Source organism: Homo sapiens, chromosome 17 (assembly GCF_000001405.40).
Source record: "Homo sapiens chromosome 17, GRCh38.p14 Primary Assembly".
Lineage (NCBI taxonomy): Eukaryota > Metazoa > Chordata > Mammalia > Primates > Hominidae > Homo > Homo sapiens.
The window spans coordinates 27,539,598-27,560,463 of NC_000017.11; the positions used below are offsets into that span (position 1 = coordinate 27,539,598).

At 49.2% G+C, this 20,866-nt stretch overlaps 1 protein-coding gene and 1 long non-coding RNA gene across 20 annotated transcripts in view, besides 4 other annotated features; one reads left to right on the forward strand and one right to left on the reverse strand.

Moving 5' to 3' along the window:
- The window catches only part of KSR1 (kinase suppressor of ras 1), a 169,988-nt gene that overhangs the window by 83,150 nt on the left and 65,972 nt on the right, over positions 1–20,866 (forward strand). For 17 of the 19 annotated variants that reach the window (XR_934587.4, XR_007065523.1, XM_047436989.1 and 14 more), the window contains one exon: positions 10,971–11,111. Coding sequence is in view for 11 of the 19 variants with exons in the window: in XM_047436985.1 (XP_047292941.1) it covers positions 10,971–11,111 (141 nt within the window). In the remaining 8 variants the exon portion in view is untranslated. Of the gene's footprint in view, positions 1–10,970; positions 11,112–20,740; positions 20,860–20,866 lie in introns of those variants that run through there. The other 2 variants (NM_001394584.1, NM_001394585.1) reach the window with 1 other exon arrangement.
- On the reverse strand, positions 202–12,490 carry LOC124903960 (uncharacterized). Its single transcript, XR_007065680.1, has 2 exons — positions 12,290–12,490; positions 202–4,376 (listed from the first exon to the last, which is right to left on the reverse strand). It is a non-coding gene; the product is annotated as an uncharacterized LOC124903960 (long non-coding RNA).
- Positions 600–1,399: an enhancer, noted in NCBI's record as "H3K4me1 hESC enhancer chr17:25867223-25868022 (GRCh37/hg19 assembly coordinates)". NCBI's record gives its function as "activates a minimal SCP1, AML or CMV promoter by ChIP-STARR-seq in primed H9 embryonic stem cells {active_cell/tissue: H9 hESC(primed)}" and the evidence as "EXISTENCE:reporter gene assay evidence [ECO:0000049][PMID:30033119]".
- Positions 3,209–3,709: an enhancer, noted in NCBI's record as "H3K4me1 hESC enhancer chr17:25869832-25870332 (GRCh37/hg19 assembly coordinates)". NCBI's record gives its function as "activates a minimal SCP1, AML or CMV promoter by ChIP-STARR-seq in primed H9 embryonic stem cells {active_cell/tissue: H9 hESC(primed)}" and the evidence as "EXISTENCE:reporter gene assay evidence [ECO:0000049][PMID:30033119]".
- Positions 3,710–4,210: an enhancer, noted in NCBI's record as "H3K4me1 hESC enhancer chr17:25870333-25870833 (GRCh37/hg19 assembly coordinates)". NCBI's record gives its function as "activates a minimal SCP1, AML or CMV promoter by ChIP-STARR-seq in primed H9 embryonic stem cells {active_cell/tissue: H9 hESC(primed)}" and the evidence as "EXISTENCE:reporter gene assay evidence [ECO:0000049][PMID:30033119]".
- Positions 4,884–4,943: a silencer, noted in NCBI's record as "silent region_8329". NCBI's record gives its function as "represses an Ori minimal core promoter by ATAC-STARR-seq in GM12878 lymphoblastoid cells {active_cell/tissue: GM12878}" and the evidence as "EXISTENCE:reporter gene assay evidence [ECO:0000049][PMID:35858748]".

Genomic DNA, 20,866 nt, shown 5'->3' on the forward strand with positions numbered 1-20,866 from the left:
TTGTTGAATGACTGGATGATGGTCAGAAGTCCTTTGTTGCCGTTATTCAATTGCTTCAGGCACAGGGGAGTTAGGGGGTAAAGTGGGTGTCTTTCTTTCTCATGATTTAGTCCTGTTGGTCCCCACAGCCCCTAAGGACTGCTGGTACTAACAACACATGAGATATTGGGGGGTTACATCAATTGAGGCAGGAAGGAAAACTTGAAAGGCAGATCAAGACAGATCATTTACTGACTTTTCAAATAATTGCTTTCTGAAGAGCAGTGTTTTGACTCACCTTGGCTTTGCAGGTGGGAGCTGTATTAGGCTGTTAGGTCAGGGAAATGCCTTCCTCTTTGGTTCTGCTGCATCTCACAACCTCCGTGGCACATAAAATGGCCTAGCAGTTGTTGCTGAGAAAACTCGGGCCCTTGGCCATTCACTCTGGCCCAGCTCAAGCTTTGCATTTCCCAGGAAGCATCATGGGTGCTTTTAAACCATAGTTGACCTCATAGTCTTCTTTCCCTGACTGCTCATGCTTAGTACTGGAGCAGTGGGAACAGGTGATTTATGTGATTTATCTAAGGTGGGTGCTTAGTTGCACAGAGGAGCTAACTCATCAGTGCTTCCATACAGGGTCTCCTGCACCCACTGCTGCACCAGCCAAAGGCAGTCAGTCATACTCTTAGACAAGTGAGCTCGTTTTGTCTCAGCCTGGGGTTGAATCTCCCATCTACAGTCTGTTGTCAGGTCCTCAGACTTTGCATTCCCAGTGGAGCATAGGGAAGGGTAGGAGGCCCTGAGCTCCCAGCTGTGGCCGTTCTCACCCCTGGCCTCCTTGGGAATATCTCCACTTGTGGTCTGGGTTAGACTTGTTTGTTTGTGTTTGAAGTTCCCCGACTCTGAGTTTGACGTCAAGGCAGGATTGCTAGTGGGAGGCTTGGCGGGGAGGTTGTCTCTACACAAATGTAAAAGCCTGGCAGCTTCCCCAGGAGAGTGCGGGTATGGGCCGGGCCGGGAGAGGGCTGGCTGTTGCGAAATGCCCAGCTCAAGGATTGAGGTCACTTGTACTTTCTCCTCTCCTTGCCCCACTTTCCCTGTGTGCCTCTCCTGCTCTGTCCCATGCCCATGAATGTCAGCCCCCGTGGGCGCCCTTGAGGGCTGGGCAGTGCTGGGAGCCAAGGGGCTGCCTCTGGTCCCCTCGGAGCTGGGTGCTATGGTCGCTGCGTGCCTGTGCGTGGAACTGTCAGCTGCATCACAACCTCCAGAGGCCTCCTTACATTCTCAGAAATCATTTTGCAACAAGTTGGCCATGGCAGCCAGGCTAGACTGCTTAGCTGGCTGGGTTGGTGGGAAGTCCCCAGAAATGCACTCCAGCTTTGGGAAGGAAGTGGAAGATGTAAGGGGAGCTTCCCCGAGGCATGGACAGAATGGGTCAATAGTGGAGGAGGAGCAGCAGCTTCAGGGACCACTGGAATGAAGGCTGGAGTAAGTTGCCAGGGCTTTGGTGGCATCCTGAAGTTCGGGATGGTATAGTCAGGGACTTGGCAGGAGCAAAGACTGCTGTGGGCACCACGTAAGAGTCTGGTGCTGCCTACTGAGGAGAAAGGAGTCAGGGTCTTGTGGGTGCTGGTGAGCTGGAAGCTGGTCCACAACTGCACCTGCCACAGGAGGACTAAATAAAACAAGAGGCAAGTGATGGACGAATGGAGTGGCTGTCCAGTTACTTCGTGTCACTCTGTAAAGCATACTAGGATCTTCTTAAAAGGGATGGCCTCAGGTTATAGGCAGCATGATGGCTAGTTTTAATGAATTTAATGCTGGCTTAGAGCCAGGGGTGGGGTACAGCCCAGAGGGTAGGTTATTGCAAGTCAGGACCAGAGGTGGTGGCCCAGTTGGGTGGCTGGATACATTTAGAGGGTGTGGGCAAGCCTGTGGCTCTTATTCACAGGATTCACTGCCTGGAACAGTCTAGGCGTGGCTGGATTTTGGGCTTTGGATCGCAAAAGAGGTAGACCCTGCCCACTGCCATCCTGCTTGTACCAGTCAAGACAGCTTAGGGTGTGGGTTGCAGGAGTCATTATTTTGAGAGGTGCATAGAGAGCATTAGATTGAGGTTGGAATCCCTTCTTTAACCACAGGATTCAAGAAAGTTACAAAGGCTGGTGCCTTGGTTTCTTCATTGTAAGATGGGAATGATGAAGTACACCTTTAAGTCTTGTGGGTTTCACATGAGAGGTTTCATGATTTGTGAGTGACGGCAAAGGATGAGCAGTGACTTGTCATTTGGCTGAGGCTGGACTCGATGGCAGGCATGCAGGTGAGCATCCCTGAGCCAGTGAGTGAGCCCAGTGTGCTGTCCAGCACCCACATCCCGATGTAGCTTTGTTTTTCTTTACTCAATGTTGAATACACAGTACATCCCATCAGAAGTCTGGAAGGGTCTGTAGTATTTTCAGTTACACATGATTGTATTTTGTGGAGGGAATGATGTGCTTTAGGGACATTGCCAGCTTTGGGTTTGTGTGTGAAGATTGGGACATCAGTCACCCTTGTGCTATCAGGGATCTACTCTAATTCCTAGCCTCTGAAATTTTCACTGACAATCCAGGTAGAGGAAGTGATATGGTACCATACATAAGGAAAAGATTGTTAACACTACTAGGTTGACAAATGAGTATTGACATGATTCTGTAACTGAGGGAGCCTGCTACTATACATGGGAAACTGGTGTCCATGTTAGCCTGTGCCTTGGATTCATTTACTCATTTATATGTTAACATCTGTGACATCTGTCACAACAGATTTAACCCCCTGCCCTGCTTCTGAGACATGAAGATCTGGGCCACTGAGAGGGTCCTGTGGCAGCCAACGACCAAAGTCAGGGTTAGGGTGACAACCTATAATAGGCCTTGGCATCTGGCTGCTAACATAGCCAAGATCATGGGTTTGAGAGTTGCCCACAGAAGAGATCTCCCCATCTCAGGCCCTGCAATTTTAGGGTGGAGCTGACTTTGTTTGCAAAGTCAGTCGTCTGGAAAGAGGTGTTTTTTGCAAAGGTGCAAAAAAGCCTGGGTGGGGTATAATCCAAACGGCACCTGCCAAAAGTCTTCATGCTCCTCCTTTTCGAGGTCATTCTGCAGGCTGAGCAGGAGTAACACTAACAGAGTTCTATTTAGTGAGCACTTTATATGTTCTGGACATTGGACTAAACACTTTGCATACATGAGTCTGCAGCAAATTCTCAGCAGTGCTATGGGGCATGTATTATATTTTCTCTGCTTTACAGAGAAGGAGACTAAGATGATATGATCTAGATCCTGCCACACAGCTGATGTGTGATGGTGCGAGGGGTAGAGCCTCCTGGCTGCCAAACCCAAGCTTCTCGCAGAGGAGATGGGACCACTAACTAATGGTAGGCATGACCTCTGACCAGTCAGAACAGGTGCTGGTGGTAAACAGGAGGCGTGGCTCATCTGCCTGTCACTGCTGCACTTCCAGCCAGTCCAGCACAATGGCTGGCCTGTCCCTGTCCACACACCCTGTGGAAGCCGCCCGTGGGAGCTCTCTGTCTAGACTGCCATTTTAGCTGGTGCTAAATGGTCTTGCTTTTAGAGGCAAGGCAGCTATTGCTCCAGCTCCACTGTGGCAGCCTCCAAGGGATGGTTGGTTCTGTGGCCACAGAGGAACCCAGCCTCCCAAATCAGACTGGCCCATGGGTAGGTTGCCTGGGACAGCCATGACACACCATGGAGGATGGGCCCAGGACCCATGCTATGGGGCACCAGCTATGGAGAGGCAGGTTGGGGCGCAGTGTAAAGGAAGGATGACAAGGAAGGGACCTGCAGGGTAGGGGTGTGAGGCCTCCATGTTCCTGGGGATCCCTGCAGTTCTGGGGGCTGTGTCCTTTACCTGAAGAAGTCTCTTTCCTCAGTGGCACGTGCTTCTCCTTGGCACAGTATCTGCTCAACCAGGCCCGTGCTCTCCAGGGATGTCTGACAAGCCTCACCACCATCCAAGTGATACTCGTGGAGCCTCCATTTGGGAGGCCTGTGCCAGAGTCATACCCGAGCAGCTGGGGTGGCAGATGACACTGAGGCTGATCAGGATGCCAGGTTACGGGTGCAGATGTTCCTTTGGGCAAGTGGAGCCGATGTCATTTCATTCCCGTCACATCCTCTGGTGCTGAGGTTGGAGGTGAGCACTCAAAGGAGGATAGGATTGGGTTCCCTGGAGTCAGCTGGGTGGGTACAGGTCTTGGCCGTCTCGCCTTTAGAAGAAATATATCTGATGCGTGGGTTCCTCCAGCATTGTCCTGAAGTCAAGACCAGATTTCAGGGTCTTCCTTAGTCCCATCTCTGACACGGGCAGATTCCCACCCATATCTTCTGTATTGCCTAGGGAGGTAATAAGAGAGAACCTGTCGGCTTCGCCTGAGAAGAACACCACCCACGTCCGCTGCCGCCGCAAGAGTGTTTTCTGTGTTCCACACGTTTTGCTGAGCACTTTGCATTCATATTTTTCTCATGTAAGCCTTCACAACAGCCTTTTGAGGTAGATCAACCCCATTTTACAGGTAGGAAAAGTGAGGCTCACTGGTTAGATCCCATGGCTATGTTCACCCAAGGGAGTGGTGTCAAGGGACTTTAGGGCTAGAGATGTCCTTCATGGAGCCACACTGACTCCTAGGTATGGCTGGATAGGACCCGTGGTTTGTTTTTTGCTTGTTCCAAGCACTTTGTATACGGCAACTCACTTGGCCTCAACCTCCATAAAATGATACTCTTTTTATAGGTGGTAAGACTGAAGCTGAGCCAAGGGGGATTTCCCCAAGATCTTTGATTTTAGATGTTAGAGCTGGGACTAGAGCTGAGCTCCTTCGGCCCCAGATACTTAGTGAGCGCCTGCTGTAGTATCGGTAGCACCCACCAACTGTTTGTGGCTGACCTGATACTATTCTCTTTCTGTAAGTCAGACTCTGGTCAGGGCTGGGGTGGGCCCACAGTACATTCTTGAAGCAAAAGAATATTGGGGTGTGAGAGATGTTGGTTCCAGCCCAGGGCCTCCCCTGTGGCCAGAGACGTAATGACTCTTTCCTTCTTGCTGCTGGTCCCATCCCTGAAACCCCAGGTGCTTGTCTATTCCGGAAAATTTATATCTTGCGGTTTTGTGGTTAAGAGAAAATGACGCTACCAATGAAAGGTCCCCTTTTAGGCCCCCAGGGCTGGGCTAGCAGGCCCCACTGTGGTTTGTCTGGGAAAGTAGCCCCTTGGCGCTTCTGTGACTGCAACCAACTTTCCAAGAAGTGAGAGCAGCTTCATTTCACTCTGACGGGAGTGGCTGCCTGTAGGCCACCTCCATCCTTTGTCAACCAGAGAAGTTTTGCTCCATCAGCAGAACCCAAATCTGTAGAGGTTGTTTCTTAACAAGTTCTGGGAGATAGCAGCTGCCAGGACACCAGACCTGCCAGTAGCTGGGTCGTGCTGCACTGCATGTCTTCCCTTTTCCTTGTCTCAGGCACAGCTAGCCAGGTTTATGGGTTATCTGGGTGCAAAGAAGAATCACTTCAAGTTCTGCACAGTTCTACCCATGGGCCTGCTTTGGGCTGTCTAGCGGGGATCTCTACCGGCCTTTAAAAAAAGAAACCGCTTGCTCCTCTTCTAGGGAAGCTGTCCTGGCTTTTGAGATGTTCAGACCCCTGTCTCATCACTTGCCCAGTTGGTGTTTGTTTTTCGCTGCCATTTGATAAACTTTGTGTGCCTGTCTGGCACAATGTATTGTGTTTGTGTGTTCATCCTTTCAACAAAGGTTTTAAAATAGCAAACCAGGCCAGGTGTGGTGGCTCATGCCTTTAATCCCAGCACTTTGGGAAGCTAACACAAGAGGATCACTTGAGCCTAGGAGTTAGAGACCAGCCTGGGCAGCATGGCAAGACCCCATCTCTATTATGAAAAAAGAGAAAAAGCAGCCCATGTGCTGGGTGCTGTGCTGGCTCCTGAGGTCTGCTGGTGACCAAGAACACCAGCTGGACCCCCACCTCCCAGAGTTTCCAGCCTGAAGAGGGAAGCAGACAAGCGTGAAAAATCAGAACTGCGATATGTGATCTGGGCAGGGGGCTGGAGGGCTTGAGGAAGGCTTCCTGGAGGAAGTGGTGTCTGAGCTGATCCTTGTAGGCGGAGAGTCACTGGGAAGAGCTTGCTTAGCAGGGGACCGAGTGCCTCAAAGCTGAAAAGGGCAGGCAGGTTGTGGGGAGGCTGGACTGGGGAAGGCCCAAACGCTGGCTCAGGCTAAGGCCAGGTGGGCTAATCTCAATGTTGGCCTGTGGTGGCGAAAGTCTTGTGCAAATGGCATATGTTAGGAATCACTCCCAGAGGCAGGACCCTTGAAGGCCATGTGCCAGTGACAGAAGGGCTCTAGTGCTGCTGCTTTTAGTGCCAGCAGCCTGACCTCTCCAGTTAATGTGGAAAAGAGTGGTTTTGAGTTTGCACAGCTGTTTGATTTATAGTCCTGTCTCTGGTCAGCCCTTTGAAGTGGTGGTTTCAGAGCCGCGTGGAATGGAGGGAAGGGCTGGCTGTGAGAAACATGGGGATAAGAACCACACATTTTCTTCCTCTGGCACTCCTGAGCATATGTTTTATGCCAGGTGCTGTAGTAGGAACTGGGGATATGAGGGAAATACGGTCCCTGCACTGATGTGTAATTATAGGGAGATCTAACCTAGTCTTTTGGAGGTCTCCATGCTGTAGTTGAATATGAGCTAGGTGTCATCGTTCCTGTTTACAGGTGGGTGAACTGAGACTCAGAAAAATTAATTATCTTCCTTGGGGCAGTGCAGCCTAGTATATGGTGGATTTGAACCCAGATGTGTTCAACTCAGAAGCCTGGGAGCTCGTGTCTATTGGGGGAGACTGAGGCAGAAGCTGTTAACTGTAGTATGATAGTAACTCCATGATCAGGGCTCTGAAAGAGTCACACACAACACACCAGGAAGGGGAGAGGCGGACTCTGACTTGGCCTGGGTAGGAAACTCCAGCAGGTATTGGAGGAATAGCTGCTGGGTGAGTGCGTGCCTGGTGGGCAGGGCCAGGGGCTATGGAACGGAGCTGGGGGGCTGGGGGAAGTTGGAGCCCTGGTTTTGGAATTTGCCTCTGGTCTCACTGGGCGGGATGGATCAGAGTGGGGTAAGCCAGGATAGGGCACATGAGTGCATCCTCTTAGACCTGTAGGATAAAAGCTCACTCGTGTGTCTACGGTTGTGAGCTTCATGCTCTGTAGGTGCTCCCCAGGGCTTAGGTTCCATAATAGGACAGCAAGTAGACTCAGAGTCCTGAACCTCAGCAGTGTGTTTGATTAGCAGGGTCTGCTCTGGGCACCTGAGGGGCATGGGGTGCAGGAATGTCAGGGGATCAGCCTCTGGGTCTGTGGTTTCATCAGACATAAAAACTGTACAGTTGAGAGTGTGGAATTATTTTGATTCTGACTCAGCGCTCCCTCTCCAGCAGCTGTCTGCACTTGCCACTGAGCCCCTAGTACCCTGAAGGGAGCAGGGGCCATGGGAGAGGGGTAAGTAACCCCAAGGGGGTTGAATCTGGCTCTGTCAGATTGTTGGTGAGCCTGGGGCCAAACTAGTTTTCTGGGGGAAATTTCAAAAACGCTGATGTGGTAGCAGTGGTTTCATTATTATGGGTCTCATTTCATGCTCACATCTCTCTAGCCACAGGAGTTCTTGACCTGGCGTCTGTGGATAGAATTCAGGGGGTCCATCGATGAACGTAGATGGGGAAGAAAATTGCACTTTTATTTTCATTAACCTTAACTGGAATTTAGCATGTCATTCCACTTGATTGTAGGCAATGAGGCACAGTTATCTTAACAAACACCTGTGACTCGGTCACCAGTAGGAATCACAGTTGTGGAGCTATCTGAAAAAGCAGTTTCCACTTGTCACAACTTTAAAGTTATGGCAGTTATTAGATGCACTGTTGGATGTTTAATACTTTAATAAAGAAGCTTTTATGACTCTATCACAGGTTTTTTTTGTTTTGTTTTGTTTTGTTTTTGAGACAGAGTCTTGCTCTGTCACCCAGGCTGAAGTGCAGTCAGACAAGGGATACTCAGCCTGTATCTCAATATATTTTTCTTTTTTTTCTTTTTATTTGAGACGATCACTAAGGCTGGCAGGCTGGGGTGCAGTGGCATGATCTTGGCTTCCTGCAACCTCTGCCTCCTGGGTTCAAGTGATTCTCCTGCCTCAGCCTCCCGAGTAGCTGGGATTACCGGCGTGTGCCACCATGCCTGGCTAATTTTTGTATTTTTAGTAGAGGCAGCATTTCACCATATTGACCAGGCTGGTCTCGAACCTCTGATTTTAAGTGATCCACCTGCCTTGGCGTCCCAAAGTGCTGGGATTACAGGCGTGAGCCACCATGACTGGCTGTCTATCACAGTTTTCAGTAATTTGATAAATGTGTTTAAATAGAATTGATTTCCTTTATAATTCGAAGTGTGTCGTTTTATACATTTCAAAGTATTGTTCTGTCCAGGTGCGATGGCTCACGCCTGTAATCCCAGGACTTTGAGAGGCTGAGGTGGGAGGATTGCTTGAGCCCAGGAGTTCAAGACCAGCCTAGGCAACATAGTGAGACCCCATCTCAAAAAAAAAAAAAAAAGATAAAGATAAAAAAAGAAATAAATGAAAGTATTGTTCTTTGAAAGAGATCATGGGCCTCCCTAGATTTCTAAAAGGGTCTATGGCCCCAAACTGGTTATAAGCTTTTATTCTAATTGAAAATTTGGAGCCTTTCTAGATATTTGAAATTAAAAATTATTAATTCATCATTTTTTTCTTCGTAAAATATTGTGACTCTGTTAACAAGAGTCCTTGCTCTTTAGAAAAATGTGCTAAGGTCCCGGTGCAGTGGTCCTAAGTGTTTTGTTTTATACTCAGATCAAGTGATCTGCCCACCTTAGCCTCCGAAAGTGCTGGCTCATGCCTGTAATCCCAACACTTTGGGAGGCAGAAGTGGGCAGATCATCTGAGGTCAGAAGTTGGAGACCAGCCTGTCCAACATGGCGAAAACCCGTCTCTACTAAAAATACAAAAATTAGCCCTTTATGGTGGCATGCGCCTATACTTCCAACTACTTGGGAAGCTGAGGCACAAGAATCACTTAAACCCAGGAGGCGGAGGTTGCAGTGAGCCAAGATCGTGCCACTGCACCCCAGCCTGCCAGCCTTGGTGACCATCTCAAAAAAAAAAAAAGAAAAATATAGTGAGATACAGGCTGAGTATCCCTTGTTTGAAATGCTTGAGGTCCAAAGTGTTTTGGATTTTGGATTTTTTAGAATTCTGGAATATTTGTATTATACTTAATGGCTAAGCATCCCAAACCCAAAAGTTCAAAATCCAAAATGCTCCAGTGAGCATTTCTTTGGAGCATCATGTCAGTGCTCAAAATGTTTTAGATTTTGGAGAGGTTCAGCTTCTGGGTCTTTGGAAGCGTTTCGGATTTTGGGTTTTTGGATTCGAAATGCACAACCTATATTTACAGATGAAAGGAAAAGGAATGAATTAACACCACAACCATGAGGGACAGCAGGGTTGAGAAGTGTCTCCAGAAGACAGGTTCCTGTAAGAGACTGTGAAGGTGGTACTTATTTTGGGGGGACACTTGGAAGTCACCATTAGGAGGCCACCAGAGTCTTAGCAACATTTCAGGAGCTCTCCCTGGGTCCCTGGGTCACTTGGCCGTAGCCAAGCCAGGCAACTCCCTGGTCTTCTGGCAGTGAGCTCGTTTCCATCTGTCGAGCCTAACTGGCCTCTGTTGGGAATGCGAGTCCCTTATTTTTCATCAGAACTGGGCCATGCCCTCCTTGTGCTTCTCTGTATCCCGTGTTCCCCAGTCCAATGCTGGGCACCCAGCCAGAGCCCAGTGTTTGTCGGGTTTACCCAAGTCAGGCTGTCCTTGTGTAAGCTTTTCTTATTTGAAGTTTTAGCCATTTGCGAGTCTTTTGAAAGCTTTGGACAATAACTCTAGAAAATACACAGACTTGCATATCTGAAATTTGCATACATTTCAGGGTGTGGATCCCTGAAAGCCTACTGGGAATCCGAGTCCAGGACCCTGGCCAATACTGCTGCTGCTCAGTGGTCATGGCTACACTTGTGGTGCTCACCATGTGCCAAATGCGTCATTTCTTCCGTCTCTCTGAGAGTCAGCTTCTATTATCCCCATTTTTCTGGAGGACAAGATGGAGACCTTTGACAAGATGGAGACTTTTATAGGGGGTTAAGTAACTTGTCCAAGGTCACAGAGCTAGGGTGTGACTGAGCCCTTGGATCCCAACCCAGGCAGTTGGATTCTTCGCTGGAAGCATCCTAGGTGGGAGGTTACCCATTCTCCCCAAACCAGCAGGTCTTCCATATTAGCAATTACCAACTCCCTGACCCCACCCTGGCAGGAAAGCCTTCTTTTTTACCCGAGACAGGGTCTTGTTCTGTCACCCGGGCTGGAGTACGGTGGTGTGATGATGGCTCACTGCAGCCTTGACCTCCTGGGCTCAAGCGATCCTCCCACCTTAGCCTCCCAAGTAGCTAGGACTACAGGCATGCGCCACCATGCTTGGCTAATTATTGTATTTCTGGTAGAGACAGGGTTTTGCCATGTTGGCCAGGCTGGTAGGAAGGCTGCCTTTTATTTAACCCAGCTCTCTGTTCTGACCAGTGTTGCCCATGACGCTCATGTCCTGAGGTGGGCAGTGTCAGCCGCCCTGGGTAGGGCAGGGGGCTCATGGGTGGCCACCAGCCTCTGCCTGTTCTCCCAGACCCTTCTCCACCCTTTCCCCTCCCCTGCAAACAGCAGAGAGGAGAGCCAGCCCCTTCCCTCATCACATTGCTTGTGTCTGCCTGAGCTCCTCTGTAGTGTGCTTGGGCCTGCCATATGGTTGGGCTGCAGATGAACACAGGCTTTTCTTTTTTGGACTTTCTGCAGGCGAAGCTGGTCCGTTACATTTGTAAGCAGAGGCAGTGCAAGCTGAGCGTGGCTCCCGGTGAGAGGACCCCAGAGCTCAACAGCTACCCCCGCTTCAGCGACTGGCTGTACACTTTCAACGTGAGGCCGGAGGTGGTGCAGGTATGCAAGCTGGTTCTCAGCATAGGGATAGGCATGAGGGGCCAAGCAGAGGGAACACACACAAACCCGAGGGCTAGCTTCCCCGTGGCTAAGACTAAGGGTTGATGCTCTCTAGTCTTGAGAAGGAGGATGGGGAGGGACAGCAGCGCCAGGAGGGATCCAGGGTACATGTGGCTCCAACAAGTGCCCTGGATGCTATTGCCTGATGAACTAGGGCAGCCCCACGCTGGGCATTGATTTGTTCATCATACTTACAACAGCCAACGTATCTGGAAGCATTGGCTGTGTGGCAGACACTGTGTTAAATGTTTCTGTGTTTTGTAAGATAGATAATCTCACTTCTCATGAACTCCTATAAGGAAATTACTATCATTGTTGCCATTTTATACTCGAGGAAATTAAAGCACAGAATGGTTAAGTAAGTTGTTTAAAATCACACAGCTAGTAAATGATAGCTTGGAATTTGGAAATAAGAGTCAGAATTTAGTTTAATCTTCTGACTGCTACAATATGCTGTCTTCCTTCCATTGTTCTCTCTTCCTGTCTGTGCAGCCTACCCACCTGCCAGCCAGCCAACTAACCAACCAGCATACTCGGAGTGTGTACTGTGCCAGGTGCCAGGGGTGCAGGTCAGCTCTCATGGAGTGCGGATTAGTCCTACTTGGCAGGCATGGTTCACCCAGTCAGATCTCATAAATCCCCTACTTCTATCCTAAAATTGAAAATATTGGCTTTTGCTGCTGTGTAAAAAGTAGCATGAATTCATTATATATAGATACTTTGGAAACAGAGAAGGAAAGAAATCACATACATACTCCTAACACTCAGAAAATCTATGATCATTAAGGTCTTTTTTTTTTTCCTTCCTCTCCCCAATATGGAAATCTTTTAAAAATTTCTATCTGGACTGTCCTGTAAGGTAGTCACAAGCCTCATGATTATCAAGCATTTAGAACATGGCTAGTCCAAATTAAAATGTGCTATAACTTCTTCCCTTGCTCTTACCTGTGTGGGCAAGGCCCTGTGGCTCTCCCCCAAGGCACACTGCAGACCCGCCTGCCTCTCTCCCTCCCTGCCTCCAGCACCACGGTCCAGGCCGCTGTCACCTCCTGCAGAATCTCTGCAGTGGCACCTCGCCCCTTGCATTCCATTTTCCACCCAGCAGCCAGGGTGCTCACCTAGAAAGGTGACTTGGATCCCATCCTTTTTCAGTGCTTCCTGTTTCCTTCAGGATAAACGCCAGATGCCTTCCTTGATCTGGCCTCTCTCGCCTCTGTTTGCTCACCTTCTCCTTTGCTCGGTAGACTCTAACCTTTGCACTTGCTCCCCACTTCCCTGGAGTGCTCTGCCCATGACTCATCCCTTGAATATTTTTCTGGTGTTGAGTGTTGTCACCGCCTCCAGGCAGTCGTCCCTGGTGATGTGATCTAAAGATCATCCCCTGCCCATCATTCTCGCCTGCGCACCTGAGTTTATTTTCTCAATGACACTGACCACTTTCTGGAGTGACCTAACCGATTTGTTGTCTGTGGTCTGTCTGCTCCCCCTGGGATGCGAGCACCATGAGACACGGCCTTGCTGTTTGGGTTTGTTTGCCACAAAATCCCCATTGAGTGTCGGGCCCAATATGGCAGTTGCTTGGTTGCGACAGATATAAAAATAAATACCTATTTATTTACTGAATAAGTAGATTTCATCATGACATGGTGGATGTCTCCAATAGCCCAGGGTTTGGCCCCAAGTGGGTGGTGACACAGGTTACTCTTAGCTCTGGCTTTCAGTTAAGTCCTGCAAGAGAGGCCAGTGTAGGGATCATAGCCCCAAAGAACCCCCTTCCCAGCTATGCCTGCTGCCATGAGTCACCTCCATGAGTCACCTGCCATGAGCCCTGGGAGAGTTGGTGCCCCCAGGGGAGATGGCCCTCTCCAGGAAGGCTAGGGCAAGTGACCCAAAGATTTCTTAGATGCAGTAGCACTCCCCTCTTCCCATGCCAACGTCCTTTTCATTCATGAAGGGTTTGTGCTGCCAGGAGCCTGAGCAGCCCTTTCCTGGGAGGCCTCTGCTATCTGGTTATTGAGCTGCACTGGTGGCCACAGTGGGGTCCTGGGGCCCCTGAGAGCCTCTGGGTTCTTTTGCCTCAAAGTTGACACATAGCACATCTGGCGTGTCATGATGGGTACACTGATGTGTTGTTTAATTATCCCAACACCCTACTTAATAGAGACCATTTTCCCCACCTCACAGTTGAGGAAGCTAGCACTCAGTGGGTATAGAAACTCACCAGGGTCCTAGAGCCACAGAGGAGTAGAGCCGGGTGCCCCTCCACACCTGACTGTGAGTCCTCCGTCTCAACCACTTCTCTCTCCTTCTTCTTGGAATGCCTGGATTCAGGCACCTGGCCAAGCCCTTTCACCTTCCAAAGCTTCAGTCTCCTCCTCTTGTGAAATGGGAATAACCCATGTGCTGCTTGCTGGCACAGGCAGTTGTGAAAGTCAAGTGCGGGGGTGGAGGAGGAAAAATTAACAATTTCCCACCTCTCTCTTACCCTCAGCTGCTGTTAATCCCAGGTGAGAGCCAGACCCAGCAGAGGCAGCTAGAGAGGCCTGCACATACGGCAGCTCTCAACAGCCTCCTGGGGAGTGAAGGAAGGCTGGGAATGGCTGACTAGAGGCAGTTTTCTGAATCAAGAGAGATAGCGGGAGTCAGCCCAGAGCTTAGGACAGAGAGGGCGGCACACCAGCCTGACAGAGCTGGGCCAAGTGTCCTCCTTCCGTCCCCCCAGTTGGTACCAAGGGTGTCCTCACCAGCAGGGCCAGGAGGAAGTGAGGCTGGAGTGGATGGGGAGCAGGAGGGCAGACTGGGCTGCAGGAGCCTGCTGGAGGTACCTGGGCCTGGCAGCTTTCTTCCTGGGCTTTAAGAACCACAAGGAACCATTAGCTGCTGTCATTCCATCTTCCCCAGACTCTCCAGAAACCCCTTCTCAAGATTTCTCTTTTTCTTCCTCCCAAATCTCATGTCAGTTCCTGGGCTATAGCCAGAGTATTCTAAAGCCCAGAAAGAAAAGGCTATTTCCTTTAGTAAACCCAGCTTCAGCTCCTACAGACTGGGGAGAGGGCTACCTTGGTTCAGTTCTACCTCTGAGAGTTTCTCCTTGTACATGTGTGGAAGCCTAGTGATGGGGGAACCCTGAGTTAGAGCAGCTCTCCAGGGCTTCAGCTGCAAGGGCTGGCCCCAGGGGTGTGGGTCTATTTTATTCTGTTTCTTAACCCAGACAGTTCTTCGGACTCTGACTCGATACCCACTGCTGCCCCTGACCCCTACCCTGGCCCTGATGGATTCTGTGTGCTTTCAGTGGGAATTGGCTCTGTAAGTTCTGCCCATCAAAAATAGGTGCAGTATTCAGAAGCCAGAGTTCCAAACCCATGTCTGTCATGCATTAAAAACCCACGTCTGTCAGAGAATCTTTTGACTTCTTAACCCATTTATGCCAGAGGTTGCAGTTTTTTGAATTTTTGCGGTCAGACCTTGGCAATGACCTTGAGCAGTAGGATATAAATAACTCCCATGTGCTTAGCATTCCAACAATGGAACGCTAGGCATACGTGGGTTGTCATCTAAAACAGGGGACCCATCCCCCAGGCCACTGACAGGTACCGGTCCACTTGGCCTCTTAGGAACTGGGCCACACAGCAGGAGGAACGTGTTTACAGTTGCTCCCCATTGCTCGCATTACCGCCTGAGTTCCGCCAGCTGTCAGATCAGCAGCAGCATTAGATTCTCACAGGAGCACAAACCCTGTTGTGAACTGCACACGCGAGGGATCTAGGTTATGTGCTCCTTGTGAGAATCTAATGCCTGATGATCTGTCACTGTCTCCCATCACCCCCAGATTGGACTGTCTAGTTGCAGGAAAACAAGCTCAGGGCTCTCACTGATTCTACATTATGGTGAGTTGTATAATTATTTCATTATATATTACAATGTAATAGAATAAAGTGCATGATAAATGTAATGCACTTTAATCCTCTGGAAACCATCCCCCGCTCCCTGTCCCTGGAAAAATTATCTTCCATGAAACCAGTTCCTGGTGCCAAAAAGGTTGGGGACCACTGTTCTAAACCATTGTTTATTTTCTTAAATAAACTTTTTATTTCGGAATAATTTTAGATTTACAGAAAAGTTGCAGGGATGTACAGAGAGTTCTCGTATGTACCCCTCACCCAGTTTCCCCATCATTAACGTTGTCGTGACCACAGTGCCTTTGTCAAAACTGAGGAAATGACACTGGTATATTACAATGAACGCAACTCCAGACTATGTAGGTTTGACCAGTTTTTCCTTTACTGTCCTCTCTCTTTTCTGGGATCAATCCAGGGCACCGCATGGTTTACATTATTTTGATTTATCATGTCTCCCCAGTTTCCTCTGCTCTGTGACAGTTTCTCAGTCTTCCCTTAATTTCATGACGTTGACACTACTTTGTTTTTTGGAAGTGAGCCCTCCCTTAGGATTGGGGGGTATGAGGGGTAGGTGGGTTAAGCTCCATCTCCTCTGGGGGTGTATCTACACAGATTATTTGGAACTTTTCTGTAGGAAAGAGTTGTCTTTTCTCCTCCGTTTATTTATTCATTCAGTCATTTATATCAGTATAGGCTCATGTCTTTTTCTTTTACACATTGGGTTCTAATCCAATACTACATGATTTATTTTGTTTCTCAAGTTCTTCCAGCTTTGGCCATTGGGAGTTCTTGCAGGTTTGTTCCTGCACTCTGTGACATTGCCCATCCTTCAGTTTTGTTTGGCGTGTGTGTGTGTGTGTGTGTGTGTGTAGCACTTCCGTGTGTAGCACTTCCTTTGCTTTCTGACACTACAGTATGCTTCAGCCCCCTCTGTTTTTTACTAACCCCACTTCTAGAATCAGTTATTTCCCCAGGGAGCCTGGTGAGTTATTCGCTCTGCTTTGTTTTGATTTTATTATTTTTATTTTTTAAAACTGTGGTGAAATACGTATAACGTAATTTACCATTTTAATCATTTCTAAGTTTACAGTTCAATGACATTAAATACTTTCACACTGTTTTGTGACTGTCACCACTGGAACGTTTTCATCTTCTCAAATGAACCATTGGTTTTATTAGAAGAGATGTGTTTATTGTAGGGGGTAAAATGAAACAAAGGAGATAAAGTGAAAGAAAATTGCTGCATCCCATTTCCCTGAAGCCTGCTCATCTTTCTGAACATTTTCTGGCCCTCACATTCCTCTGCGTGTTGTCTCTTTTGTACACATGAGATCAGGCCAGACGTTTGGTTCAGGAACCTGCTCTTTCCCCTTAAAGACCTGTATTTCCATGGTTACAAACACTGCTACCAAGAACATCTTTGTGCACCTGTGTATTTCTACAGGGAAAAAAACCTAGAAGTGAACTTGCTAGGCTGGATTTTAGTGAATGTTTCCAAAGTGTCTTTTAAAATACAATAAAAGCAGTCTTTTTCTTCAACGGTTATTTATTTATTTATATATTTTGAGACAGGGTCTCGCTCTGTTGCCCAGGCTGGAGTGCAGTGATGCGATCCTGGCTCATTGCAGCTTCAATGTCCTGGGCTCAAGCGATCCTCCCGCCTCACTTCCCAAGTAGCTGGGACTGCAGATGTGCGCACCACTGCACCTGGCTATATATATATTTTAATTTTTTTGTAGACACAGGATCTCTCTATGTTGCCCAGGCTGATCTTGAACTCCTGGGCTCAAGTGATCCTCCTGCCTCAGCCTCCCAAAGTCCTGGAATTACAGACATGAGCCACCGTGCCTGGCCTGCTCAACTTTTTAATGAGACTCTCATTCCAGGTGTACCTGGACCAGACAGTAAACTGCACATATACCTTTTCTAAACTTGTACTTGGCTGGGCAGTAGTTAAGACCCCCAGCTCATCCCTGTTCCTGTCCCTGTATGTTTCCTAAGAAATTGCGTAGGGCCATGCCCACAGAAGAAGACTCAGAGTCAGAGGAGGGAACAGGGTCCCTGGGTGTGTTGAATGGTCAGTGTGGTGCAGGGCCCAGATTCCAGCCTGCCCTAGTCCTGCCTCAGGAATCCCTCTAGGGTGCCCAGGCCTTCATGGGTTGGTGTGGCCTCTGCTATGTCCAGACTGGCCTGGTGCCTTGGAGGCTAGAAGCAAAGTTGTATTTTCTCCCTGGCTGTCCTGACTTAGTGCCTTAGCCCTCCTGTTGTTTAGGAAACTAGAGAGCCCCTAAAGGGCCAACAGGACAGCTTGGCTCACATGGAGGGGGAGGAGTGCCAAGGTCCTGCCAGTGGCCCCATGGGACAGCCTGATCCAGGTCTGTGGGGAAAGGGACTTCCCTTTGTCAAGCTTCGGGAGGGACCTAAAACCCAACAAGATCTCCAGAAACCTGGCCCAGGGGGTGGGGATAGGTCCTTGGGGATTTCTGTGGGGCAGCTGGTCTGGTTTGGAGGATATTAGAGCTAGACCCCTCTCTGCCTGACCCTGAAGTTTGGCCTGGAGAGAAGTCTCCTCCAAGGTAGCTCAGACTGCAGAGATTGGCACCCTGAAGGAATGGTTCCCTGTACGTGTGAGAGAGGTTGGACCAAAAGACACCACCAGCATCAGGAGGAGTCCTGGGGGGATAGCGGAGGCCAGAAAGTCATGGCATCTGTCCCCTCTTTCCAGGCAAGAATTAGACATAGCACGCTCACTTGGCTGCTGGTGCCCACTGTGGTGGGCACTGCAGGGAGGTAACCCTGCCTCCCAGAACCACTGTCCAGTGGAAGCAGGATGGACCTGCATGGCTGTGGCCATGGTTGACCCAGGCAGGACCTGAGATCCTATGGGTATCTAGAATGGGCCTATCTGCCTTTTACACAATGTGAGATCATGGGCAAGTGACTTCATCTCTCTGGGCCTCAGTTTATCCATATGAGAAATGACAGATTAAGTGACCTTTTAAGTCCTTTCCTCAGATGGCTGCTGCTTCTGGACAGTAAAGAAGCCTAGAGTAGAAGGAGTTCTGTCAGGTGAGGTGGTTCGGAGAGACCATGTGGAGTGGTACCTTCCCCTGAACCCTCCAGATGGTGGCTTTGCCTTGCCTCTCAGATGTGTCTGCCCTCCTGTAAGTTGTATACCATGCTCTCTTCGAGGTATTTCATCATGTGCTTTTCCCACTGGCTCCTATGTAATGTTTGTGTGCAGCAGTTGGAGCTCTGCCGCACGGATCATGGGGTGATGTTTTTACTCCTGTATTCTGTGCCCCCGAGTCAGGCTTTTCTTCCATGGATTTTGGGCAAAGCTTCCTTGTGTGTCTTCACCCATTTTTTTTCCTTTAGCCCACACAAGATGTGATCAGCTATCCATTGTTACTGAGAGATGGGAGTTTTAAATTTTTCAACACCAAGCAAGTACAGAAGTGTTAGAAAGCAAGCAAAGGCCCTCCTCTTCCACTTCGCGGGGATAACACCTTGTTAACAGGTCAGTGGGTGCACCTGCCAGACCTCTTCACGCATTTTACAGTCACTTAAAATGACGTGCAAATTTACTCCCTTCTCTCTCTTTTTTTTTTTTTTTGTTTGCTGAAATGGGATCATATGATAGATATCATTTTGCAGGTTTGCAGTCTTAACGTCATCTGTGTTATCCATAAAAATTCATGTTATCCTTCTTTAACAGTAGAGTAGTAAGAGATACAGTTTCATCAAGGTATGATATGAATGCCTGTGTCTGAGGGATACCCACCTGCTCACATACATGCGCACACAGTGACATCAGGCAACTTGGTGGTTCAGGTGACTCAGCACCTGAACGAAGATGAGAGCCCGTGCCCAGAAGAGGCCAGGTGCCCAGCTGTAACGCCTGGCACATGGAGGCCCTGGCAAATACTTACTGGGTGAAGGAATGTACCAAAGTCACTGCAGGATAGAGGTCAGGGATGCCAGACTTGAAAACAGGACTCTTTCAATATTTGTCTGTCTGTCTTTCTGTTTTTTGTTTTTTTTTTTTTTCTTTGGAAGGGAACAAAATCCGTGAAGTCTCTCTGTTTCCTTTTGCTAACCTGATAGTGCTGAAGGACCCCCGCATCTTTGCAGTCAGTGCCTGAAGATGATCTGCCCAGGGCTGCCCCCTGAGGCTTCCTGGGGGAACTTTGTGTGGTGGGATTTGTCCCTTCAGTCACTTTGAGTTCTCTGCTGACCTTGACTCTTCATGGCTTCATGACTAGGACTTTGATTTTTCCCTTAGGAAAACATACGTGGATCGTTTGTGTGTGCAGCCGTCTGTGTGTGTAATCTCCTCCTTCCTTTTCCATATTGTTTTCCTAAGGGCCATCCCTGCAGGGTTATCTAAATACCATTTCAGATTTTGTCTTTTGGTTGGATAGTGTTTGCGGTCTTAAAGTTTCCAGGAAATAATGCCTTTTCTACTAGAGGAAGAGAGGGGATAGACATGGATGTGGTCACACAGTACGGCAGCTGCATTTCCAGGTTCCTGGTGTGGCTGAGGTGGCCCTGCGTGGGTTTCTTTCTGTTCCCACCTGAGTCAGATGCCAGCCCTCTGCGGCTCCGAGCCTGCTGCGGCGCTGCATGCCTGACCTTTGGTTCCTCGTCCCTTCCCTGTCTGTAGATGTTGGAGACAGAACTTGGGCAATGCCTGCATGTGTTTGCCCAACCACTAGATCTTCATCTAGAGCAGCGCTGTTCAAAACCTTCTGTATTGTCCATTCAGTGTGGCAGCCCTTAGCCATATGTGGCTTGGGGACACTTGAAATGTGTATAGTGCAGCTGAGAAACTGAAATTCGTGTTTTGTTTTATCGTAATGAATTTTAATTTGAATAGACATCTGGCTATGACTGCATTGACCAGGGCCCTGTGGTGAGAGCTGGGATGCTGAAGACACCTTCCTCTGCCCCAGGAGCACACAGACTGGGGTGAAACAGGAAGTGAGAGCCCCAGATGCCCTGATGGCTCCGGGATGGGATCTGTTGGAGCCAGTGGGCCAACTCATCCTGGGTAGTCAGGGAAAGACGGATGTCCGGGAAGGCAAGAGCACACCAGGCGGAGGGAAGAATATCTGCAGAGACCCTGAGGATGAGGAAATCAGAGCGCTTGTGAAGCGCGTGAGGAGGAGTCTGTGAGGAGGCTGGCGGGGAGCCGGGGTGGATTCCTGCAGCTCTCCCTGTGTGCAGTGTAGGGGTTGGGGCTCCTCTTAGGGGATATTGGAAGTGTGTGTGAGAGAGGGGCAGGAATTCCAAATGAACATTAGAATTGTTTAAAGGAAAATAAAACTAGCAAGAAGGCTGCATTCACATGGGGATGGGCTGAGAGTGACGGGGTGAGGAGCGCTGCCTCCCACGTGGCTGGAGGGTGGAAGGGTCGGGGATAGGAAATGAGATGGGAGGGAGCTCAGAGGCGGGGCCCTGCCCCGCTCCCAGTCATTTGGATTTGCACACTATGGCTGTTTCAAGCGGCCCCCTGTCCCACAAGTTACGTCTAAAAGTCTCAGCTTCATATTCTGGCAGCAGCTGGGGAAATGATTTCAGAGCCTGCTGGCATGGAGCCATTTTTTTTTTCTTTAGCAATTTCCCGGTTGGAAGTTGTTGAAAGGAAGTGGCAAGCGCTGCCTGAGCAGTTCTAGCTGGGAGAGGTGGGTGCTGCAGAGTCTGGGATTCCAGGGTGAAAGCCACAGGTTCCCCTGAATAAGCTCTTACTGCTGGTGGTTCCTGAACTGAAGATGCAGGCGGATCTGGTAAGGG